At 42.7% G+C, this 27,185-nt stretch overlaps 1 protein-coding gene across 4 annotated transcripts in view; it reads right to left on the reverse strand.

Annotated features, from left to right (window-relative positions):
• The window catches only part of SIAE (sialic acid acetylesterase), a 43,191-nt gene that overhangs the window by 4,249 nt on the left and 11,757 nt on the right, over window positions 1–27,185 (reverse strand). For 2 of the 4 annotated variants that reach the window (NM_001199922.2, NM_170601.5), the window contains 7 exons: window positions 23,267–23,442; window positions 17,294–17,432; window positions 12,258–12,435; window positions 10,705–10,814; window positions 10,004–10,137; window positions 2,349–2,506; window positions 1,181–1,376 (listed from right to left, as the gene is read on the reverse strand). In NM_001199922.2, the coding sequence (NP_001186851.1) occupies window positions 1,181–1,376; window positions 2,349–2,506; window positions 10,004–10,137; window positions 10,705–10,814; window positions 12,258–12,435; window positions 17,294–17,432; window positions 23,267–23,442 (1,091 nt within the window). Of the gene's footprint in view, window positions 1–1,180; window positions 1,377–2,348; window positions 2,507–10,003; window positions 10,138–10,704; window positions 10,815–12,257; window positions 12,436–14,453; window positions 17,133–17,293; window positions 17,433–23,266; window positions 23,443–27,185 lie in introns of those variants that run through there. The other 2 variants (XM_047427132.1, XM_047427133.1) reach the window with 2 other exon arrangements.

A 27,185-nucleotide genomic window follows, 5' to 3' on the forward strand; every position in this document is an offset into this window, starting at 1 on the left:
CTAGTCAGCACAGCCACAGGTTGATAATACATGTTCATGTGATCAAATAAATAATTTTAATAAATAAAACATTTACTGAGGGAGACAAGGAAGCATGATCACATAAGGCATTTAGGGAAGGCTGCTCCCCTGAACATTCTTTGGGTGATCCCTCTTGCCAAACAGCAAGGCAGACAGGAATTTAAGTGAACAGAGTGGCCCAGCTGCTGCTGCTCCGCTCTGGCACTCCCAGAGCCACTGCAGAATGAAGAAGGGGCATAAGATACAAAACCTTTCTCAAGCCAGAAGGCAATCCAGAAATGGGAATACAAATTATCCAGACCACTGGCAACTGACTAAAGAGAAGAGCTCAGAATGCAGACGTCTCTCAATTCACCTGGAACCCAGTGTGGAAAGAAGCTAAGTGGGGTAAGTGCCAACCAAGCATCTGAGGCAGGTGGATACCGTAGTTAGGACTTCAGAAATAGCAGCCCTAGACAAACTCCCGTGTAGTTAAAGTTTGCCTTTAATATTCTTTTCTCTTCTCCAATGCATTCTTTTCACACACCCCTTCCCAACCTAAGGCCTCATGATTCCCAAAGTCACTCATTTAAATGTTCCATGTAGGAATGCCTCCATCTCCCACCCTCAAATATCGAAGACTCCTGAATAATCTTTCATCAATGGCCCCAGTTCCACAGCAGAATGACCCCTGCTAGGTATTAAAAGGACTCTCATTATATTGTCACACTAAGTTACAAATACCTAAGAATAAGCCTCTCAAAGGAGAACCTAAACTCAGAAAATGTCAGGATTTAGGAGAGTGTAACAAAAAATACACCCAAGGATGGGGTAAATATTCTGGAGCAAGGATCCTTCAATAGGTAACCTACAAATAAAGCTGCAGGCCCTGCCCTAGCAAAGATGGTTGCTTCGGCAGAGAAAATGTAAAAGGAAATTAAAAATTTTTTAAAGTCCATTTTAATATGGACTTGTTTTCCCTTTCTCGATTGTGCTGTCTGTCAAAAGTGCCTCCAAGCTACTGAATTAACAGCTGTTTATTTGCAGCTCTGAAATAAGCTCAGCCCCCAACCAACCAAGACCCGCCACATCGTAATAACAAAAGAGATGGCCTCAAGTGCGGAGGAAATCTTGACTCCACCACAAAATGAACCCCTGTTTATTCTGCTGTTCTTCTCACCTCAAATATCTTGTTGTCCTTTTTCTGCACCTGGATTTGCTGGTAATATGTGAGATTGAGCAGCCCCTTGTGAGCCAAGAGTTCTATCTTCTCAGGCAGTGGTCCTTCAAAGGTCAAATTCTTCTCACCATAAGCCAGAGCACGGGCCCCCAAATGCAGCCGATAAGCCACAGTCTGTTTATCTCGAGGGTGGATGCTACAGGATAAGGAACAAGTAGAGAACTTTGGGTTTAAGCTCAACAATCACCACATTTTTTTAAAAGGGGGATTATACAAAGCACCCTTTATGAAAGTAAGAATAAAGTTGACTGAACTCTGTGATCAGTGGCTAGTCAGCTCAAGGGAAATGGTGAATGGTAACCATAGATGGGGCTCTGGGCCTTCTATGGGTTGGAAACCTTGAAATAATAGATGACTTGGAAGGAAGGAATAAAGGGCAGGTTGGGAGGAGGGAGGGAGACATGGAAGAAGGAAAGATACCAGAACTAACCTAAGAGAGCTAACTCATAAGATTGTTCCTAACCACTAAAAGTCAGGTTTCTTTGGAATCAGCTGATTCATTATTTGGTCCCCTAGAGCTTTTATTCATTTATTCAATAAATCAATCAAGTTCCTCCTATAATCCAGACACTGTGTGTTGGACTCTGTTTCCTATGTGGAATCCCCTCACATCCTACAGTTAGTGTGTGGTGTTCCCTGGGGCTGATCACAGGTATCTCAGTATTCCTCCTGTGAGGCCAGAGGAATGCTGGAATTCCATTTCCTGCTGCCACTGAAGTTAACCGTAGCCTTATGACTTGGTTTGGCCAGTGCAATGTGAGCAGAAATGACTTGTGTGGAAGCACTGAATTGCCAGTGTGACACTTTAAGATGACTATGGAAGCATAGGTCAACTTGGAGCCTCTATTGCTCTGGGTCTATGAATGATTACAGTGAGCAAAGTCTCTGTTGACCTTCTTTTAACAGAGAGAGTGACCAAGAAATAAATTGTTGGTGCATCAGAGAACTGAGATGTTGAGGGTGTTTGCTGTTGTTACTGCAGCACACCCCAGCATACGTGACTCTTAAGTGCCAATCCTCAGTCTAATTGCCCCTCACCGGTGAACATCAGAGTGAAAGACTACAAAGAACATACACTGTTCATGCAAAGCCCAAGAAGCAATCATACCTGCCAAAAGGCGAGTCTCTATCACAGAGATCCATAGCTACAGCCATGAAAGTATTGGGCATCTTTGGGTTGGGGACATAGCCGAAGTCTGCTGTTTGATGCCAACGGATCTGGGGAAATCCATCGTCTGAGCTCTTCTTAGACAAATCTGAAGATAACTAGAAAGCAGAGACATTGCTAATTTTATTGTATCAGAATCCCACACTGGAGTCTTTTTCACTGGCAGACTCTGCTTCTGCTTCTCTCATTGCATTTAAATGCTCATTCAACACGTATTTACTGAGCTTCTTACTGTTGTGGCAGTGTCTCTCCAAAGACAGCTGCAACAGTCCCTCTCATCCCATGTGCCCTCTTGCAGTGCAACTTTGCCACACCTCTCATCAAGCAGCGGGGTCTGTTTCTCTTCCCTTTGAATCTAGGATTTGCTTTGACCCATAGAATGCAGGAGAATTGATGTTGTACAGCTCCTGAGTCTTGGCCTTATGAGGCCTTGCCTTCTGAATTCATTCTCTTGAAACCCTGAGCTGGTCATGTAAACACCATCCAGTTACCCTGCTGGAGAGATTATGGAGTGAGAGGGGCCTTGGAAATTGAAAGATCATAGAAAGAGAGGCTCTAGTGTTCCAGCAATCACAGATAAGGGCCAGTCATATGGATTTCTAGATCCTCCAGTTAAAATTGCAGCCACATAAGCAAGCCTAGCTGGTATCATGTAGGGCAGAAATGAGCCATCCCAGGTGAGCCCTACCTGGCCAACCCAATGAATCATGAGCAAAAAATATGGCTGATGGTTTAAGCCCCTAAGTTTTGGGGTAGCTTGTTACAAAGCAATAGATAACTGATACATCTGTATACAACACAGGGCTAGGCACTGTAGGCAAGCAGAGAAGAATCTGCCCTTGAGCATGTGCTAAATTGCATCAGTGACCCCAATTCTTCACTCCCTCCTATATCCACACCCTCTTGCCATGTGGATTTGCAGTTCCTCCCGTTAACAGGACAAGTATGTTTCCCAAACCCTTGATTCTAAGCTCAGCCATGTGGTTTGCTTTGACCAATCAACAGAAGCAGAAAGTATGGTGTGTCACTTCCTAGCCTAAGTGACTCTGCATGGCTCCACTTGCTCATTTGCACTGCTGCTATCGCCATAAGAAGGACGTGCCTGGGCTAGCCTGCTGCTCCCTGGAGAAGGACAAGAGCGCCCCTGCTGACCCACAGAGGTCTGAAAGAGCCCAAAGATCTGCAGCTTAGCCAAATCACCCAAACCCCAGCTCCCCAGACAAGAGCTACCTATATAAGAAAGGCTATTTTAGGCCGGGGGTTTTGAGGTAGTTTGTTACACAGCAGTAGCTAACTGGTACAAGTACTTTACAGCTTTGTTGAGGAGGACAGACCTACACATAAGAAATAAACATAAGGATTGAATGGGTTTATGTTTCATAAACATATAAAATAGTATGGATTAAATGTTAAATGAGTGCCACAGACAGCAAGTACTAAACATTTAGAACAGGCAAAGATTATTATTATAGGAAAACGTGGTCTCAGAATTCATTAAAACAAATGGGCATCAAAAATATGAGAAGTCACTACAGGCAGTACTGCTCACACTTCACATGTTAGAAGCATGTAAGATGCAAAGGTGGGGAGGAGAATGGTCGTTCTGAGAGAGGGGCAATCCAGGTGGACTGGAGGATTTGTGAAGGAAAGGCAAAGTTGGAAAGATAGCAAGGCAAGTGTTTGTATAGTTGATTCTTTTGTATTAAACAATAAAGAACCTCTGTAGAGGTGATAGCTGCACGACATCGTGAATGTGCTAACGTGCTACTGAACTCAATTGCATGTTATATGACTTTCACCTCAATTAAGAAATTACAGAGCCACTGAAATTACTGACATGATCAAAGGACCATTTCAAAAGATTGTTCTAGTGATCATACAAATGGCTCTGGCAAAAAACAAAATAAGGCCGGGCATGGTGGCTCACGCTTATAATCCCAGCATTTTGGGAGGCCGAGGTGGGTGGATCACCTGAGGTCAGGAGTTCAAGACCAGCCTGGCCAAAATGATGAAACCCCTTCTCTACTAACAATACAAAAAATTAGCCGGGAGTGGTTGCAGATGCCTGTAATCCCAGCTACTCGGGAGGCTGAGGCAGGAGAATCACTTGAACCCAGGAGGCGGAGGTTGCAGTGAGCCAAGATTGTGCCACTGCACTCCAGCCTGGGCAACCGGGCAAGACTCCATCTCAAAAAAAAAAAAAAAAAAAAAAGAAACCAAAATAAAGGACTTAACGCAGAGAGACAGATTAGTTAAGCAGCTATTATAATATTCTAGACACAAAAACAAAGATCTAATCTACAGAGATAGTAGTAGAACGGGATGATGAGAAATAATAAAAACTGACAAAACCAGGCAACCAACTGGATATGGAGAACAAGAGGAAGGGTAAAATCCATCATTCGGAAGCCACGGCATCTGAATTAACTGTGTGGCATCTCAGGCATCCAAGTAGCACCAGAATATTTGGGGAATAATATTGTTCCAGAAAGAGCCTGTGAAGGATCCACAGCTCATGTATTATCAGTCAGCTCATGTATTTATTCATGCTTTTAACAAATATTTACTGAGCACCTACTCTGTGTCATGCACTAATACTGGCCTAGGAGATAGAGCAGTGAACAAAACACAAGAATCCCTTCCCATTCTTATACCCTAGTGGAAAGAGAGAATGAATAACAAGATAGATCTGTAAACTACATATCCTATGAGAAAGTGACAAGTGCACTGGAGAAAAATATAATAGGGAAGGAGGAGAGAGTGTCAGAGTTGAATGAAGACTAGAAGGAGATGCGCAAAGAAGCTATGAGGATATCTGGGTATGTTAGGCGGATGACCCACAGGGAGCCGCATCCTTATACAATACTCTCCTCTTTGTGGTAGGGGGAACTCGTAATTTGATTCTAACCAATAGGCTATGGCAAAGGTAATGGGATATCACTCCTGTGATTATGTTGTATATGGCAAAAGTGAAGGGATTTTGCAGATGTTACAAGTAACGTCCCCAGTCAGCTGACTTCACATTGATCAAAAGGGAGAGTATCATGGTGAGCCTGACCTAATCAGGTGAGTCCTTTCAAAGAGGGTCTAGAAGCCAGGCCCCCTCCCCTGCTGGCCTTCAAGAAGTAAGCTGCCATGAGTTCTACAGCTTCAAGGAGGTGAATTCTGCCGACAACCACATGAACTTGGAGGAGAACTCCAAGCCTCAGATGAGACTCCAGCTCTGTCTGACACCTTCACTTCCACCCTCAGCAGAAGATCCAGCTAAGCCATGCACGCCCAGACTTCTCACCCATAGAAACTGAGATAATAAATGTGTGTTGTATTGTTTTAAGCTGCTAAATATGCAGTCATTTCTTACTCAGCAATAGAAAACTAAAACAGCAGGAAAAGAACTTTCCATGAAGAATGGAAAAGAAAATGGCAGGCCCCAGGACGGGAGTATGCCTAGCGTGCTTAAAGAAAAGTAAGGCAGCCAGTGTGGCTGGAGTGGCATATGCAAGGCAGAGAGAATTAGAAGGTGAGGTCGGCGGGTAATGTGGGCAGGGGGCACATCATGTATGGCCTTGCTGACCTCAGCACACGGGGACCCACTGGAGCCTTCCGACCCGACTTACACTTCAAAGAGTCACTTTGATATATTGAGAATATCCTACAGGAGGAGAAAAAAAGGTAAAAGCAGGAAGAAGACCAGTTAGGAGGCAATAATACAAGGGAGAGATGATGGTGGCTTAGACTAGCGCAGGAGGAGTAAAGGTAGTGAGAAGTGGTCAGATTCTGAATGCAGAGTGAGTTAACAGGATTTGTTTTCATCTAAACGGAAAGTTGATACACTCCTACTCCTGCAAAACACACAGGCTCCCAGAGAAAAAAATCTTTACTATTACTATGACACAGGCAGTCCAGCTATTTCTTCCTTCTTTTTCTGATGTTTACATCACCCTGTCCTTTGATTTAGATAGCATCTTATTCTTAGCTCCAGTTCCAGCCAATGAGAGGCATCAACCTATTATCTCTCTTTTACAAACCATGATCTAACTGTAAGTCAAACCACAAACTGGGAAGCAGTCTGGGCCAGCAACAACATTTTTTTTTGACTCCATTTCAAAATGTCTGACCCCATCAGAGGACTGCATTTTACACAGACTGTTCCACCCAGCCTTATTACTCACAGCCCAGAAAATACCTGACATCATCCCTATGAATGTGGCCAAATGCAACTTTGAATCGAGGATATTTTCTGCTCTCTGAGTTGCTCCAGAAAGATGAGAAAATCATCAGGAGTACACGGAGAGGTTGCAATAATAACAGAAAGGAGCCTTGGATATGATATGGAACCAATAGGCCATTTACAATTCTCTTATTAAAATTATCTTAGGCAAATCAGCTTTAACATAGGAAATGATAGAAGGTGCCACTGAAGCCTCACAGTAGAATCTCATGAAGACTAGAAAATGGGAATAAAAAATCTATTAAGTCACCCTACTTCTTCCACACCCAGAAGACAAAGTGGAACCATGTGCACCAGCCAGGGTCATAATGAAGATCACAGTAACAACGCCACAGGAAAGAGTCTGTGGTGAGAAAAAAAAAAAAAAAAAAAAACTAGCCTGAAGCTCAACAGGGAGCAATGCTAATAACAGTCCCTCAAGTCAAGGGAATTTTCTCAAAATGGCAGTTTGCTGAGAATTCTTGCAGCAATTCACTTTTTCATTGACTGCACTATTATATACTCGCCACATGGGGGCACCGGCGTACTCCACACCCACATGAAATTCCTGTTTTCCTAATCTGAGATACAGTGGGGCGCTAATCCGTCTCCCACAGTGGCTGGTAGAAATACTGCGGCTAATAAAGGCGTGGACCAGCCAAAGAATATAAAGCTGGCCACGCTCACAAATAACATGCTGCAGTTTGTGGTCTGTTCAACTGTTCCTCCAAATCCCTATTTAAAAACCACACTCCTTGGGACTCCAGCCCCTAGCCTCTTGCTGTTTCGCTCTCAGGCTCCAGGTGGCCTTTCTGCTAATAAGTCTGGGATACACGTGTCCAGCCCTGGTCTCTCCGTGGAACTCACATCCTCCATCTCTAGCTGTACTCTAGTCACTGCAACCATCATTTCAAACTTAGCACTTCTATGAAGCCAGTTCCTCTTTCCTTACAGACCAACTGTCCCTCCAGATCTTCTGATTTCTCTCATCAACAATATTCAACACTAACATTATCTGGTATGTTCCCGGCTTTCCATGGATGAACTCATTCAATATTTAAAATAACAAAGAGTTCAGTATCGTGTTCGAAATCACGTGGCTCAGGAGGTGTCACAGCTAGCATCTGAATGCACTTAGTCTAGCTCAGACTCAGTCTGAACCATGACGCTGTCATGCTGGGTATTTCCCTTTGAAGGGATATGTTTATATTTCCAGACTTCCACTAGTAACCAGCATGTTTTTGTTGGTGATAATAAAGTTAAAACCTGGAGGTTAAGGGACTTTCACTAAACTGTAAGGCATAAGTACAAGAATCAGGTCTTTCTGATTGCTATATTTCTTTTTTTTTTTTGAGACGGAGTTTCGCTCTTATTGCCCAGGCTGAGTGCAATGCTCACCACAATCTACGCCTCCTGGGTTCAAGCGATTCTCCTGCCTCAGCCTCCAGAGTAGCTGGGATTACAGGGATGCGCCACCACACCCGACTAATTTTGTATTTTTAGTAGAGACGGGGCTTCTCCATGTTGGTCAGGCTGGTCTCGAACTCCCGACCTCAGGTGATCCGCCCACCTCGGCCTCCCAGAGTGCTGGGATTACAAGCGTGAGCCACCAAGCCCGGCCTGATTGCTATATTTCTAGCACCTCACAAGATTCACAGCATATAATAAGCATTCAACACATACTTTTGGTTTGAGTTGGCTAAAGTCATACTCAAATCACCATGTGCACAGGCCAAGGGAGAAAAAAGTACTTCCAAAGCCCAAGTGTAGTTTCCACCAACAGGGATGCAGAACTGGTGACAGGAGCTGCTACTTTGAAAATAATGAGCAGAATAATCTTATTTCAAAGTCAGAACAAATGCAGGAAAGAAGAAAGAAAATAATCATAAAGGCATTTTAAGTGAGAAGGTCTATACAAATATTCAAAAGAAGGTACAGTGAAAAGGACAAGGTAGGGGAGTGGGGAGGATGGTGAGAAGTCATCTGTGGGGCGTGCGGAGGTGGTGTCTGGGACCATGGATGTCCCATTTACACAGGAAAGCCTACTCTGTTGTCATGTTTTAAGATGGGCATTGTTTTTATATCACCTTACTTGTTTGATTTCTTATGTTCTAGAAAAACCAGCACTACCACCGTGCTAAAAAGTGTAGTTCATATGAACATGTGGAGGCTAGGCAATTATGAACTTGGTCAAATATGTTTATTCTTTTTATGCAAGGCTGAAAGCAGAATCTTTCTGACTAGTTATCTCTAATTAAATGTATGGTTTCTCTTGCTATCTTTTTTCATTCACATGTTAAGCCACTATTTAACGAGTGCCAATCAACTACATACGTACTAGGGATGTTAAGTGTGACCCAGGAAAATGTAGTCATGTAGGCAACCTCATGCAAATAAAAAGGGGAAGTAGAGAGAAAGGGGGCATCTAACTAATCTGGATAGTCACAGAAGGCTTCCTAACTAATATGTAGGCTGTCTGGGACCTAAAGGATGATTAAAGTTAACTAGGAAAGTATGGAAGGCAAGGAGCAAGTGCAATGGCCAGGGAGTGAGAGAGCACGGTGGATTCCAGGGAGTGGAAGGGATAACACCAAGTTGGGGAGGGGGTGGGGAAATGGACATTCTCACAGACAGTTGTTAAGAGCATAAATTTATACAAATTCATGAATTTCTTCAGAGAAATCTGGGGACATGTTCAAAGCCTTACAAAGGTGTACCTTTTGAACCAGAAATTTCATTTCTGGGAATTTACCTTAGGGAAATAATCAAGCATATATGCAGTGATTTAGCAACAAGGAAAATAAACATGCCAAAGCTTATTAAAGCAAAACGTTTAAAACAACCGAAATGCCCAATCTATAGACAGCTAGTTAAATAAACTACAATGTAACCATATTTCAGGCTCTACAATCATTACAAACTGCATTGAAGATTAATATTTATTGACATGAAAAATCGTTTACTACTTATCTCTAATTGAAATATTACTTTTAGAGAAAAATGCAAGATATAGTACAGATCTATTTCAAAAATAAATGAGCAGAAGACAGCTGCTTATTTTTGGATTGGAAAATTATCAACTTTTTTAGCTTCTTTTTTGCTTATCTTTTTAATATTTCCTCAATGAAACTGTAATGCTTTTTAAATAAGAAATATTAGTTACTTATCAACTTTTTTTGAAGATTTAATTGTCCTATCAGTGAACTGAGATGAAGTAAGCCTTACATTCAGTTCTTGACCAGCACATTATGAGGACAAAAAAGGAAGATGAAATCCAGGAAAGAGATCCAAATAGCACATCCCCACACCAATGCCCATAAACCTCTTCCTCTCAACACAGGAACAGGTGTTGACATGAACAGAGAAGCCTTTACCCACATCGTACCTGGACAAGTCCAAATGGGAAGAAACGCTCCGTCTGCCCCTGGGAACCACGGTGGAAGGTTTCACGCCAGTCTTCGATGAGTGCAGGGAATGTGCAATTGTACAGATCCGTGTTATAATTTATATTGGACTCCCCTAAAAACAGTCCAAATTGTAAAGGGAGTTTGGAGTAGACTGCAAAAATGACCACACATTACTCTCCTCCCTCCATCCATGCCCTGAGGTAGTGGTCTTCCCACGGTCTCTCTGGACTGGTCTTTTTCCAGCCAGTGGGGCATCAGCAAATGTGGTACGAACAGAGGCTTGAAAAGTACTTCAGGTTTGGGCTCTGTCCTCTCCTGATGACCCTGGAATCCTGAGACTATTATATAAATAATAAATGAGTCTATACTGGCTTGCTGAAGGATAAGAGGTCACCTCAGAACCATGTTGCAACAGCCCCCAGACAATACATCTAGGGAGAGACCATCCTAGGTCATCCAGCCACCAGACAATCTGCCAGGTGGCCAAAGACACATAAGAGGTCCCAGCAGGAATTAGCTGAAGCAGCCCAGACATAAAAACTACCCTGCTCACCCACAGAACAGTGAGCTGAATAAAATTATAAAGTTATTGTTGCTTTAAGCCACTACGTTCTAGGGTGCTGTGTTATACAGCAAACGCTATCTGATACAATGGAGAAAGAGTACACTGAACACTTACCCTGGTACCATACTACCCCTTTCAGAGTCATATTGCACAGTGGATGGATCATGGCATTCCAGAGAACAGAGTGCTTACTGGGACCAGTTACAGAATCGTATGGAATGGACCTGAAATCATATGATGCACAAGTGTCACCAGAGAGCCAGTGATTGATCACATAAGGGTCCCTAATTGGTCATCTATCCACTTTCACTTGTGGTAAACTTCTGATGAAAGCAACACAGAATTAAAATTGAATCGAAACTCTTTTTCTTGAAAACATATGAATATTCTCTGAATTTCACCTCCAGGTTATTCCCAAAATAAGTGTATCGGTCAGCTTTCTATGGTAATTAAAGGTAATTTCTAAGGTAATTAAAGCCACAGGGAAGGAGTGCTTTATTGTTGAGTTTCTCACATTGTGGGGGGGGGCCAATAAATTTACCTAACTTTTATTAAATAAACCTTTATTTAATGCACAGACATTTAGGTTGTTTTAAACTTTTTGCTTTTATATGGAATGCCAAGATCATCTTCCTTATAGCTAAGTCATTGCATACATGCTTAACTATATCCATAAGATAAATTCCCAGAAATGAAACTGCTGTGTCAAAGGGCATCTTTTTTAAGGCTCTGAACACGTTCTCAAATTTCTCTGTAGAATATTTATATGAATTTATCCTGTAGCTGCTGCGTGTGAGAAGCCCACTTGCCCACACCCTCGGGATTATCCCTTCCACCCCCAGAGATCTGGTCTAACGCTCACTCCTACTCTACTGCAGGCCATTCTTCCTGTTCCAAAGTTGAATATCTTCACTCCCCCACAGGCAAGCTTTTACCCAAACTATACCCAGAGCTCAAGCCCATCCTCCTCCCACAGGGCTTCCCAGCGTGAATGAGACATGGTCCATGAAAGCAAGTCACATACTGCTCATCTCTACATTGATGTTAGTATCGGGATTTGTATTCACTAGCCCTTTCCCTCCCCAAGTATTCTTCCTGATCCAGCCTTTCCTAAGCAGGTGTTCATAATCAGTATACTGATACATTTCTTTGAGTACATGTTTATAACATTTGTTCTTCCTGTTGGATTGTTTATTCTTCTAGGCAATACAGCACAATGGTTAGGTGCACAGACACTGAAGCCAGACTTGCCACTTACTAGTCATGCTCATGAGCAAGTTACTAAGTCTCTCTGAAATGTAGTGTCTTCACCCATGGTCTTTAATATCTACACTTCAATATATTAATATATAATAATATATATTCAATATATTCATAATTTATATATATAAAGTGCTTAGCACAGTGTCTGGCATATAAAAAGCTTTCAGTAACCACTAGCTATTACTATTACTGGGGGAAAAGATACTTTTTTTTTACATGTTCTCAAACGATTGTGGTGGCAGTGACAGTGAAAATAATGCTTTCCCTCTACATGAATAAATTACATACATTCAACACATATTGGGACATTCACCATATACTTAACTCCCCACAGAGGACGATGACCCTCTCTCTTGCATAATTCCCTGGTAGGCTCTTTCTCAGACTGGAGAATGCTGTCTTACCCTTGTTTAGGGACCCCACAGGCTTTCAGTGACCGTCCAGATGACCAGGCTTCAATGGGTGTCCCGCCCCAGCTGGAGGCGATCAGCCCGATGGGATACTGCAGAGTGTCATAAAGGTGACGTCCAAAGAGCCAGCACACTGCTGACATGTACTTGAAATATCCATGGCCTAAGTTTTCTGTTCAGAGAAATGGTTAAAGAAAAAGAGCCAGAGAAAGGTTGATGGATACAAACTGCAGCTGCTAGGTGGGTCGAGGTGAGAAGGGTGGGCAGAGGTCATTCTTCTGTTGTTTTCTAAGACTTTCAAAAGTAGGATAAGATTGAGAGGCACAGAGAAGATACAGCATCAAGACCAATATGCTGGTCTGAACACTATTATCTCTTCCAAACCTTCCCTAAGGAGAATCTTTTCCAAGGGAGAAAACTGTAACCTTAGTGATAGTTTCCTTTTATCTGTCTTCATGTTTTTTCAGTTACTCAAAATGCTTGTTCTCATAACAAGGAAATAGCTCTCTCTGCCTGGGAGAGAGGCAGATATGATAGCGATTTTGCTCTCAGTCTGATTATAAATAATTCACTTACATAACATGGAAGTTAAAACTCTGGCTAGGCAATAGGCTTCCCCATGCTTCCCATCACTTACAGGATCTGCAGACTCTCGGATAATCAATGCTCTCCCTCAAATAGGTGAGAGGTGGGAGGGCCATCATGTCCCCATGCTACTCTCTTCTGTGTCTCCCCTCTTACTCAGCCACTCATTCCCACTTAGCTCTGTGGAAGGGAAAAAGCAAGGAGGGGGCAACTTAAGAAGAAATGTGTATTTCTTCTTTTTTCTGGTGGCTTTATACCCAATTTTATAGCTATGCTAAAGAGGCTGGGCGCAGTGGCTCACACCTATAATCCCAGCACTTTGAGAGAATGAGGCAGGTGGATCATCTGAGGTCAGGAGTTCGAGACCAGCCTGGCCAATATGATGAAACCCCGTCTCTACCCAAAATACAAATATTAGCTGGGCGTGGTGGTGGGCACCTGTAATCCCAGCTACTCGGGAGGCTGAGGCAGGAGAATCGCTTGAACCTGGGAGGCATAGGTTGCAGTGAGCTGAGATCGTGCCATTGCACACCAGCCTGGGCAACAAGAGCAAAACTCTGTCTCAAAAAAATAAATAATAAATAAAATAAAAGTCAAAAAATAAAAATAAATAGCTATGGTAAAGAAAACATGGACAGATAAGTGATGGGAAATTCGGCCCAAAGGGAAAGCCACAGAAGCCAAAACTAGTGTTTAAATTCTCAGCACAGTCTAATTCATTCATCCAATTACACTGCCCAGTAACCAACAGAGGCAAGAGTGAGCAATTTCATGTTAGAAGAAAGCTGGTGAAGAGGGGGGCATGCATGTACACACAAGGATGGGATCAGTTCAGCCCAAGGTTTATTAAAGACTGACTATGGCTAAGTCACTGGCACTCCAAAAGTAGACAGTGCAATAGTGAGGATTCAAATCAATTCCAAAATAATTAAATGGACAGAGCACCTACCATGTATCAGGAACTACTAGATGGATGGGAGACAGTGATGAAAGCAATATAGAGACACATGGAACCTCTCCTCATAGGTCTATTAGTTGATAGAATAAGGCAAGTAGGGCTGGGCATGGTGGCTCATGCCTGTAATCCCAGCACTTTGGGAGGCTGAAGCAGGCAGATCATGAGGTCAGGAGTTCGAGACCAGCCTGACCAACGTGGTGAAACCCCATCTCTACTAAAAATACAAAAAAATTAGCTGGGTGTGGTGGCGCACACCTTTAATCCCAGCTGCCTAGGAGGCTGAGGCAGAAGAATCGCTTGAACCTGGGAGGCGGAGGTTGCAGTGAGCTGAGATCGTGCCACTGCACTCCAGCCTGGGCGACAGAGCAAGACTCCGTCTCAAAAAAAAAAAAAAAAGAGTAAGACAAGTATTTAGTTGAATAAAATATATGGCAAAAGATGGTAAGTACAAACAAGTATTAAGGAGTTTTAACACAAAGAAAGAATATCAAATGAGAGGCAGATCCTAAAAGGCCTAATAAACACTGACCTCCCCGCCCCGCACCGTGCTTCCACGACACTCTGTGCATCGCTCCATCACTAGACCTTGCAATAACCATCTGTTCAGTGTTTCCCTTAGCTCACTACACTATTAGCAGAGACTTCACCTGATTCACGTCTGTATCCCCAGCGTCCAGGACATGATGGAGAGTCAGTGTTTGCTGACTGATTGAGGGTGGCTGTGGTTTCACTGACAGTAGGTAGAGGGGAGTGGTAAACAGGAGGGAAGAAGAGAGCTGGAGAAGCCTTAAACCAGCAACAGGAGTTTAACAGACAGAGCTGGCACTCAAGGCAGAAGAAAAAATACGTGAAAAGGCACACAGAATAGGAAATATTCTGAGAGTATTTGGCTGGAGCAGAGATTATAAAAGAGAACAGTGGAAGATAAGACTGGAGGGGAGGTTAGAGCCACATCTTGGAGTAAAGAAAATGGAAACCCACTTGAAAATGCTTGAGAATGAGAATGTGGGGTGTAGGCAAAATAACAGACCCCAAAGACGTCGACACACTCATCCCTGGAACCTGTGGCTGTGTTACCTTGCATGGCGAAAGGCACTTTGTAGATGTGATTAAGGTTAGGGACCTTGAGATGGAGAGAGTGTCCTGGCTCATCTAGGTGCGTCCAATCTAATTACAAGAGTCCTTAAAATCAGAAAACCTTTCCCAGCAGCAGTGATGTGATGACAGAAGAGGCAGGAGACCGGGCGCGGTGGCTCACGCCTGTAATCCCAGCACTTTGGGAGTGTGAGGCAGGCAGATCATGGATCACTTGAGGCCAGGAGTCCCAGACCAGCCTGGCCAACATAGTGAAACCCCGTCTCTACTAAAATACAAATATTAGCTGGGCGTGGTGGGGCACACCTGTAATCCCAGCTACTCGGGAGGCTGAGGCAGAAGAATCACTTGAAGCTGGGAGGTGGAGGTTGCAGTGAGCCAAGATCACATCACTGCACTCTAGCCTGGGTAACAGAGTGAGACTCGGTCAAAAAAAAAAAAAAAAAAAAGGGGGAAGAGCACAGCAGGCAGGAGAGATTCTCAACGTGGGAGAGATGGATCCTCTGTGCCCTTCCTAGGTATCTGAATTGCCTCGCCTCTTTCAGGCTGCTACTGAAATGTTGCCTTTCCCCATCCCAGCACGAACACTTCCTATTGCCTCCCTTCCCTGATATATTTATTTGTTTTTGTCTCATTAGCACGTCACCCATTAACCTATCCTGTGATATCCACATTTATTCATTCAGTTTCTGATTTCACAAAGTGAAAACAAGTTCAGATAACAAGGCATAATACATTATCCAAATTTGATTGAGTCCTGAGTTTTGGATACCATGTAGTAAGAGTTCATAGAGCAAAGGATTCATCCAAAAATTTACCTGAATCCATTCAGTTCCTGAGCTCTTTTATAGGGAGAGTTCGGATAGTGTAAGACTGGATAGCATCAGATACTTTGTCTATAATTTGCTTATTTTATGATTCACTTTCAGAGTTCCCTTACACTAGACTGTAAGCTCCATGAGGTCAGGTATTCTTGCCTGTTTTACTCACTACAATATCCCCAGCACTTAGAACAGTGTCGAGCACATAGTAGACACTCAAATATTTGTTAAGTGAATTACTACTTATAAATGTAGGAGCATCTGAGCACCAAGGAAAGCATGCACAGGAGAAAAAGAAAAAGTCCAGGGGGAACACAGGGACCACCTCTGAGGGAAGGGAATGAAGAAGCAAAGAAAAAGGGACAGAGAAGACAGAGGAGGAGAAGTAGGAAAAGAAAGTACCAGGCAAGCAAGGAGGGACATGCAGTTTCTAAAGGGGGTGGTCCGCAGTGCTGAATGCGGCAAAGGTCTCTAGGTTTATCATTAGAAGAATGATAGTAACATCAAGGTGAACAAATTGTTGAGGTGGAAGCAGAAGCCAGGTGACAAAGGGCTGAAGAGTGAACACAGGGAAAGGCAGTGAAAAGAATGAAAACAGAAGACGTTCTAGAAAGGTTTAACAAAGCAAAGGAGAAAGATGAAGCATCTGTGAAGGGTGTTTGCGATGTTTACTGTTGTTTTGTTTTGTTTTATTTTGTGAGAATAGAAGAAAGGCTAAGCTCAGAGAGCAGGGACTGTGTGTCCGTTTGGTCACTGCTGTATCCCTGGGGCCTGGCACAGATCCTGACACAAAGCAGTCATGAAATGGAGAGTGGCCGGGTGCAGTGGCTCACGCCTGTAATCCCAGCACTTTGGGAGGCCGAGGTGGGCGGATCATGAGGTCAGGAGTTCGAGACCAGCCTGGCCAATATGGTGAAACCCCATCTCTACTACAAATACAAAAATTAGCTGAGCGTGGTGGCTGGTGCCTATAGTCCCAGCTACTCGGGAGGCTGAGGCAGGGGAATCACTTGAACCCAGGAGGCGGAGGTTGCAGGTGAGCCAAGATCACACCACTGCATTCCAGCCTGAGCGACAGACTGAGACTCCGTCTCAAAAAAAAGAAAAAGAAAAAAAAGAAATGGAGAGCTCATGCTGAATGGACTGAGGGGAAAACCACAGTGCCTAAGGGATTAAAGAAGGCTCTGGAGAAAGGAGAACCCAAATCAGAGTTAGCCCTGAAAAGAGACCAGTTGTCTACAGACACAGAGACAAGGGAAGAAAGAAGAGAGGATTTGGAGTGAAGGCATCGGCGAGAGATGCTGGCGGAGCCCATGCCGAAGGGCCTTGATATTTTCACTGAAGATGTTGAAGGAAGACTCATTTCCCCACAGCAAGAGGGAAGATTTGTTGGTAGTCTTGGGAAGAAACCTGAAATAGTCACCATCAGGAAGGATGAAGAGTCAATAAGAAAGGAATAAAAGGCATGAGTAATAATAAATAGACACATAAGAACCAAATTCAGTCTTACAGATTCCACTTAGGGCGCTAACCCATTATATAAGAGACAGCACGTTCAAGCCGTCACATACCTGAGGTGGGCTTAGACCACTGCAAGTCAACCGCAACAAGGTCCTCCAGCTCCTGCTCTGCTTGAATGGGAGAGACAGAGAGGATGCGGACAGACTGATATGCCGCAGTGTTAGACAACTCCCTTGTAGCATTAAATATCTGGAAAAGAAATTGAAACGTCATTTAACCTAGCAGGTGGTGAACTAGCCTGACACCTCTTAGTAAACATCAGTCCTCTGAGCTCCTGAGCTTTCAATATACTGAGATCAAATTAATAACCAAAACCAATGGGCTGCACTGAATCACCTTGATCCACTTTTACCAAAAGAGACCAGGATGAATCATGTTCCCAAAGAGGGTAGAAATATAATGAAATCTGTGATCTTAAGGAGCAGGTCTATGTTAGACAAGAGGAGCCGTGAAGTAGCTGAGGCTAAAGAATATTGCCCAGCACTTACAACACTCTGATACCTTGAAACTGAAATATTTCTACTCTGAAAAAGTATCTCATAACACAAAACCAGACCAATTAACTTCTTCTTTTTTTTTTTTTTTTGTGTGTGAGACAGTCTTGCTCTCTCGCCCAGGCTGGAGTGTAGTGGCCAATCTCAGCTCACTGCAAGCTCCGCCTCCCAGGTTCACACCATTCTCCTGCCTCAGCCTCCCGAGTAGCTGGAACTACAGGCGCCCACCACCATGCCCAGCTAATTTTTTATATTTTTAGTAGAGACGGGGTTTCACCGTGTTAGCCCGGATGGTCTCAATCTCCAGACCTCGTGATCCGCCTGCCTTGGCCTCCCAGAGTGCTGGGATTACAGGTGTGAGCCACCGCACCCAGCCAATTAACTTCTTTTTAAAATGGTGCTTAGGATATTATGTGGAACCAAAAAGGCCGTGGGGAGGTAGATTTGTCTAATCCATACCACACAAGAGAAGCATGCTTAAAAGAAACACAGCTCAGACATGACTGTTGAACTACTGAAACATAGTTGAAGTACTGAAACATACTGGAATAAGTCTCAAAATGCATATACAGTTATCCTTCATGTCCACAGGGCATTGGTTCCAGGAACCACACCCCCCCACACCAAACCCCAGCACATCAAAATCTGAAGATGTTCAAGTCCCTTATACAAAATGGCATATTTGTTTATAGCCTACAAACATCCTCCTGTATCTCTATATTACTTATACCTAATGCAATGTAAATGCTATGTAAATATTTATTATATATGTTAAGCAACCCTAATCTGAAAATCCAAAATCCAAAATGCCCCCAAATCCAAAATTTTTGGTGTGCCAACATGATGTCAACAAGTGGAAAATTCCACACATAAATACTTCAGACAAATTTTGTTTCATGCACAAAATTATTTAAAAATATTGTACAAAATTACCTTCAGGCTATGTGCATAAGGTATATAGGAAACATAAATGAATTTCAGGTTTAGACTCGGGTCCCGTCCCCAAGATATCTCATTATGTCTATGCAAATATTGCAAAATCCAAAAAAAAATCCAAAATCTGAAACACTTCCAATCTCAAGCAACTTCAGAAAAAGGATACTCAACCCGTATGTATTGTTTTTTCAATGTGTATTATTTATTGTTGTATTGCCACTTTTAATTTTTATTTTTCAAATATTTTATATCCATGGCTGGTTGAATCTGCACATGTGGAACTGGTGGATACCACAGGCTGACAGTATCCTCATCTTGGTCTTGGTAAATCACCAAAGAAAAGCAAGAGAGGCATGGAGACTAGAAAGGTGGTGTTCAGGGTAACAGCTCAGAACAGTCCCAAGGAATTAAAGAAGAGGGTCCCTCCAAAGATAAATCATATTTTCCCAAATCACTGTATTAAACCTCATCAATTGTCAGGAGTATGAGAGGAGTGGCTTAGGGTTTTCTGGAAAAGAATGTGTATGCTACACTCAGTTCCTTCTTTGTTAGTCCAGTAAAGCATCATTCCTCTATGAACTTATGCACAAGTGCTATTTCCTCTCATCCTGACTTTTTAGTTATTTTTTTATTTTAAAACAAATATATCAGAAATATTTTGTTTTTGTTTTTTTTTATTTGTGTATTTCTTCTTGAGTCCTTTCTATCCCCCTGGACTGGCCCAGCTTCTCCCAAAACAAAGGGCCAACGGGAGCATCAGGAAGCCCAGTTACCGCTTGCCTCAGGGAGCAGGCGCTCCAGCTGAGTCGGGGCTGCCACAGCAGTGAGAGGCACAGGAGGCCGGGTACGTTCCATTGGCCGCTGGTCACAGAGTGTGCAGCTGGCTCGCTTTCCACCCCCACCCACCCACCACAGAGAATACAGCTGGCCCTCCAGCCACAGCGTAAGAGAAACTCTGAAAGATGCTGCCCCTTGAATCTCTCTGGACTTGCCACTGAGCCGGCTGTGCCCAATAAGATGGCCAGATGGAAATGAGATAGCTCTTTTGATCACAGTGGGAGCCACAACCTGAAATGCTCCCTTGGTGGTGGCAGCTCTAGGCTGTCAGGATTACTGACTGGTCTTCCCATTCTCAGGACAGGTTACACATGGTCTCAAGAAAATTCCACAGGAAATCCAGACCTGTTTGTTCAGGATCATACCTGGCAGGTTAATGTAAAGTAAACACGAAGGAGTAAGAACAGGCTAATGCACTCACAGTGTATCTGGCAGGGAAATTATTTTTCAGCAGCAAGTACCTGTAAAAAGCCGCCTCCTTTGGAATTCAGTTCTGCACTAAGCACTCAGGATCCTATGTTGCTTCCATGGAAACAGTGGATGAAACTGCTTTCATTCTCTCCACCCACACTAGCTTCCGCACTGACTGGGAACTCAAGTGCTTCATCACAGTGAGACGCCAGCTTGGGAGGCAGTATGAGAGAACATGCTACTTGTCTTTTAGACCCGTTGCTAACACTGTAGAGTACTGTGAGGCCAATAGAGTCAGAATGGTTGGCATTCTCCTATATTGATACCAGCACACGGAAGTGGATCCAAAACATTGACTGGAAAACTTCCATTTTCAAATTCACATTTGTGTGTAATTTCAAGCCCAAACTTGAAAGCCACAGAGAGTGTCAGCAAAAATGGGGGTGGGGACCATTCCTTCTGTACCTGACAACATAATGACAATTACTTCAGAAATTGGTATCCTTCCCCAATAACTAGGCCTTTTTGATGAAAGCATTTCCTCGGGGATATGTGCAGCAAACTTAGGAATAAAGAGATTGCAGGAAGATTTTCATTTAAATGACATTTGGTTTCCCTGCTGATGAAAGGGGAAACCTTACTCCATCTGCTGAGATCAGATTTCATCTCATCAAACACTGCAGTGTTATTATTTTTTTACCAAGTATTTAAATGAGGATGTAAATGAATACCAAGGTATTTGAAGTCATTAACACCACAGACGCTGGGAGAGAGCACCGCTGCCTCTCTAGGGACTGGACCGTTCACCATCAAAGCAGCTGCTCACTGGTGTTCATTTTGTAACCTTTATACCACATTCTTGAATTAATGAAGACACGTCAAGAATCTATTTCCTCAGAGAATCTTGGCATGGGGTCTGCATAGGGGAGCAAAGCATGCGTGTGAGTGTGTGTCTGTGCACACACACACACACACACACAGAAGGACAGAAACTTTATTTACTTAAAAGAATTTGGAAATGCTCTAAGTTACTTTACCTTCTACTATGGTAGCAGTTCTAAAATTGAGGAGATAACTATTAAAAAAAAAAAAGCCAGCCTCATAAGTCCTGTGAATCTTTTGTTGGAATGTGGTACCAGCCCTTCTCTTCTGGATCTTAATTTCTCTATTTGTAAAGTAGGAATGTGGGGAGTTCTGAGATATTGAAAAATGGGTTTCCTGATGGATATTGGCCATCTTTTTCTGAGCATAACTAGAAATATCCAAATCTTAAGACCTACCCTGACTTAGGAGGCGACAGATGAACATTTAGACTCTTCTCCATTTATAAACATCTCACTCAGCGTTATAAATAACACTCAATTTTAAAATTCCACTTTACCCTAACAACAAGATGGGCACACAATCTGCCATTTCCTTGATTTGAATGTGAAGAGTGGTAGGTTATAGTGGAACTCTTACCTCCTCAGAGAAGTCACATGGAAGGAGGGAAGGAGAAAGACTCGTGTGTGTATGTGTGTGTGTGTGTGTGATGTATGTGTGTGTGTTGGGGGTTTGTAGGAGGAAAGGAGCAAAAGGAATAAACAGAAAGCCATGTAGAACATTCTTTTAATCAAAAAACAAGGTTCCATAGACTGTTAAGAGACTAGAAACTTGGCTTTTGGTACTGTCAGCATCTAAAATGTTATCTTGCAAACTAAGTGCATGATTTAAACAAAAATAAAAAATAAATATTAACACTTGGATGTTTCAGACAGAATTTTTTTCTGTTCCCCTATATCTCAGAGCTTAGAGACCTAGCTTTATACAGAAGATGCTCAGGGGTAAATTCTAGGCAGAGAAAATATGTTTACTCTTAACAATCAAAATCTAATTTAGCTTGACAGAAAATGGGATGGAATCCCCTGGCATAGACTGCTGTTGAGAAAGCGACTATATAGATACAAACAGATCTGGTCCATGCCTTTCTGTGCAAACAGGGAACTGCAATTACAGCATTAAGAAAAATACTGTTTTCCTTAATGAGTTAACAGCAATTCTGCTTCTACACAAAACCATCCTTTCTATCAAGAAATAAAACTTTGATTCTGCTTCTACTCTCTTATGCTAAAAGAGTCCAAAGTTCAGTTTAATAAACATTTTAATTCAAAAAGCCCAGCATGGGTAACATAGCAAGACCCTATCTCTATAAAAAATAAAAAATCAGCTGGATATGGTGGCTCACACCTGCAATCCCAGCTACCCAGGAGGCTGAGGCAGGAGGATCCCTTGAGCCCAGGAGTTCTAGGCTGCAGTGAGCTATGATCATACCACTGCACTTCAGCCTGGGTGACAGAGAAGGACCTTATCTCTTTAAAAAAAAAAAAGGGGGGGGGGGGGCTTCCGTATATATAAATAAGACAGAATGTAAGAGTAAATAAAATGTTGATAAGGAAGACTTCAATGCAAGAATTTAAATTCTAAATCAGAAAACTAATGATGAAATGAAGTAGATATGTTCAGAGTAAGATCATTTTAGTAGCATTATTTAGTAGAAGACTACAAAAAGAAAAAAATAGAAAAAACTAAGAAACAGAAGCAAAACAATAAATCATAGAGTATACAAACATATTGTATTTCATAAATTTTTCAAAAAGAGATGAATTGAGTTAACGGTCTAGTTCTATACAGGTTTACATCTCAAATTTAATATTTCTCAAAGGAATGATTAAAAGGCAAGAAAACAGGCCGGGCTCAGTAGCTCAGGCCTGTAATCCCAGCACTTTGGGAGGCCAAGGCGGGTGCATCATCTGAGGTCAGGAGTTCGAGACAAACCTGGCCAACATGGCGAAACCCCGTCTGTACTAAAAATACAAAAATTAGCCAGGCATAGTGGCAGATGCCTGTAATCCCAGCTACTTGGGAGGCTGAGGCAGGAGAATCGCTTGAACCCGGGAGGTGGAGGTTGCAGTGAGCTGAGATTGCACCATTGCACCCCAGCCTGGGCAACAAGAGAGAAACTCCGTCTCAAAAAAGAAAAAAAAAAAAAAGCAAGAAAATAAAAATCAACTTGAGAAGAAACTCAGTTTTGGAGAAAGTGCTAGAGAAAACAATACTCCTTCTAAGTTCTTAACCTATATAGAATACATTAGCACCAATCAATAACTACCAATTTAATCAATAGCTTATCTCTTAAGATTGTTAAGTCAAATTAATGAATTCATTCAAAGCATTTAGAACATATCTTGGCTCATGGTACTCACTAAATAGAAACAGCCCTGCTTCTCCTTGTTGCCCCCTTATTCCTCCTTCTTTTCCTTCTTCATCACCAACACTGTGTATTATTGCTGAGACTCTGCAAATTACCTGTAACACAGTCATCTGCATGTTACTCTGCCCACTACAGAGCCAGACATCTCCAAACAGGACGTCATGAACTCTCAGGGTGAAGTTTATTTTCTCCAAAGTCTGTTGTGCCATCACTTCGAAAGGTCCTCCAGGCTTCATAGGATCCAGTACCACCATCCACGTATCAGAGTGAGCTGAAATAGTAACAGGACTCCAAGGAATTAATCAATCAATTAAAGTGAAATCAAAGCCCAATTATACTCATTTGTGGCTATTCCCAGCCTCTGTAATAAACCGAATTCAAAGCTATGAAGATTGGCCAAATTTCAGATAAGAGGATAGAACTAACACGAGCAGCAGCATTTTTATCCTTAATCTGTACCAATCCCTCCTTACTTTTAACTGAAGCATTTACAAAAAAAGTAAGTTACCCAGTTATAATCCTAAATGAGGATAGACAAAAATACACACAGATTAAAATTCAAGAGTTTAATAGAAAACATAAAAGAGAAATTCTTATTATACTATCCAGCTGTCAAAATTAACATTAATTTCATCTTATAGTGCCCCAAACTAACTTGCAATTACTCAATTGAATGTGACCACAGGGTATAGAAAATCAATGATAATCTGGAACTTCCCCTGGCTTGACAGTATCACCCTTGCCTTCACTCCCCGTCTCCTCCTCTGTTGCTAACAAGGATTAACACTACCAGTGGTCTGGGTTTTCCTAACAGCAAACTGTTGAGTGGAGAAACCGACACATCAAAAAGTAGTGGGAGGCATATAAATTAATCTCTCTGTGAAAAAGATATTCCAATTTGCCCAATTAATTATTTTCACAGACTTATTTACAAGACTTAAGGCTTTGGGACTCAATTAGGGAAATGAGAAGCTGTCTGAGACCCTATTTCAGAAACTCATAGCATATTCCCTAGAACCACCCCATCACCCTCCTACCTCTCATCACTCACCAGACCACCCCTGCCAACAACATACTTAGAAGCTTCAGAAAAATATCTTCAAAATGGCAAAAATTATGCCAAGGAGAATCAAGCAACATGAACAAAGTTGATAAAACAAGCATGGGAAAATAGAAAAAAAATGGGAAATTAACATTTTAAAATAAATACTCTTGGCATTATGCCAAAGAATATGAACTGATTTATAATTCATACCCATCAGATCAATGTAAATTCAAAGGGAAAGAATGATAAGAACTGGAAATGGAGCATCCTAAAATGATTACATCCAATCTATGGGAAATAATAATTCTAAAAATACTATCCAAGGGCCTACTATGTGCTAGACACTGCAAAGTTCTTTCTAATCAGCAAGAGCTAAGCAGAAGCATGAGATGTCCTAATGTACAACAGGTGACTAATAAAAACTCAATTCATAAAGGATTTCTCAGAGTCCTGGGGAAAATGTCCAAAAGCCCCAAGACATCAGAGGAAGGGTGCATGCTTGCTCCTCTTAAAAGCATAAGCAACTAAGCTTGCTACTCCCATCCCTAAGAGGTTAATTAAATCTAAGACCAAATGTTCAGTATTGCTTTTATACCATCAGTAGCCACACGTCAACGTATTAAATGTATAATTCACCTAAACCAGAAAAATCACTGTTTTGGAAACAGTGGGCAGCTAGGACAGATTGTGTCGCACAGGTGTGATGTGTTCCATGTGGCTCACACTTCTGAGCAGGCAGACACTCCAATCTGTCCCAACTCCAGGCTTGCCAAGGTCTTTCCAGGCTTCCTGCACTGACACATCTTACTGGAGCTCTGTCCTTCTGCCACCAACGTTATTTACTTATGGTGGTGAGGTCAACCTCCAGAAAACCAAGGACTATTTCTTAGCCTTCTATTGCTATACAATTTATTCCTATTCACTGCTATTAACTGGGTATTTACACTTAGCCTCAATCCAGGCAACGTGGCTGGTGAAGAAAACTACCTTCACCAGAGGTTCTAAAACACTCTGCTACCCAGTAATTAAAAGATAATGCCAAACTATTTAGGCCAAACATAGCAATACCATCCTGCTACAGCCAGAGGATGCACTCCCTCTAGGGCCTAAGGAATCGAGAGAACTAGGCATCAAGACCCGAGCCTTGTTCCCAAGAACTGCCTCCCAGAGAAACCTCCTTCCAACTTCCTCAAAGACCTCAGAAAACTTCCTTCTGTGCTAGTCCTCAAGATGTTAGTTTCTAGCTTTTTTTCCTTTCCTACTTGATAAAAGAAAAGTAAACTCTGGCAAAGCACAGTGGCTCATGCCTGTAATCCCAGCACTTTGGGAGGCCGAGGCAGGTGGATCACCTGAGGTCAGGAGTTTGAGAACAGCCTGGCCAACATGGTGAAACCCTGTCTCTACTAAAAATACAAAAATTAGCAGGGTGTGATGGCATATGCCTATAATCCCAGCTACTCGGAGGCTGAGGCAGCAGAATCACTTGAACCCAGGAGGTGGAGGTTGCAGTGAGCTGAGATTGCACCATTGCATTCCAGCCTGGGCAACAAGAGCAAAACTCCATCTCAAAAAAAAAAAAGTCATGTAAACTCTGACAATAACACAAGTGTTAAGAAGAGTTAACTTCCAGGCAAGGCAGGGAAAACTTGATACACTCCAGAGAGGTTACTAATGGTTAAACCAACTCAGAGACAGTTCATTTAAAACAATAAGGATTGGCCGGGCGCAGTGGCTTGCGCCTGTAATCCCAGCTCTTTGGGAGGCCGAGGCAGGCGGATCACAAGGTCAAGAGATCGAGACCATCCTGGCTGACAAGGTGAAACCCTGTCTCTACTAAAAATACAAAAATGAGCTGGGCATGGTGGCGGCACCCGTAGTCCCAGCTACTCGGGAGGCTGAGGCAGGAGTATGGTGTGAACCCGGGAGGCGGAGCTTGCAGTGAGCCGAGACTGTGCCACTGCACTCCAGCCTGGGCGACAGAGCGAGACTTTGTCTCAAAAATAAAATAAAATAAAATAAATAAGGATTTACTCCTATGTAAGCATATACAAAGGACAGCAGCACCTGTGAAGACTGTTTCTTAGACCAAAAGCAAGGGTGGGATTAAAAAGGCAAAAGCCACCATGTTTCATAAGAACTGGCTGGTCCTTAGCTTATCCGTTCAGGACTGGTTGGTTGAAATGGAGCTCACCACAGGCCAGTTAAGTCCAGTTAAGAGTTTTCAGAAACAGTGTTGACCCACGAAGTCCATAAGCTGGAGTCCAAATAAGAAGCTTGAGCCACTAACCACAAAGAGTTTACCATCCAGCTGCCTTTCTGCTGATAGAGATCAGCTTTCCCAACAAGTTGCTCTGCATCCCTCTTCTGGGCCCTAATCACTTGCTATTAGCTATTCCAGGCCAGGCCCAGGTTTCTGTAAATTCTCACTTTCAGTGCATTCAAATCTCTGCTTCCTCGCATTTTTTCTCGTACCACCTAGGAAGATTAATTTCCTTCCTTCATTATACAGCTACTTAGAGTGCTTAGTGTGCCAGGCACTCCATCAATTAAATGGTAGGAAGTAAACCCCATCCCTGGGTTACACTGACAAGAGAGCCATGCAAATTGACTAGGGCTTTATGTTCTCATGTCTAGGGTTAGCATTTCTGGTAGCCTATTTCTTTTTTTTTTTTTGAGACAGAGTCTCACTCTGTCGCCAGGCTGGAGTGCAGTGGCGCGATCTTGGCTCACTGCAACCTCTGCCTCCCGGGTTCAAGCAATTCTCCTGCCTCAGCCTCCAAAGTAGCTGGGACTACAGGTGCGCACCACCACGCTCAGCTAATTTTCTTTTTGTATTTTAGTAGAGACGAGGTTTCACCATGTTGGCCAGGATGGTCTCGATCTCCTGACCTTGTGATCCACCCACCTCAGTCTCCCGAAGTGCTGGGATTATAGGCATGAGCTACCGCATCCGGCCTCTAGTGGCCTAT

The sequence above is a fragment of the Homo sapiens genome, chromosome 11, assembly GCF_000001405.40.
Source record: "Homo sapiens chromosome 11, GRCh38.p14 Primary Assembly".
NCBI lineage: Eukaryota > Metazoa > Chordata > Mammalia > Primates > Hominidae > Homo > Homo sapiens.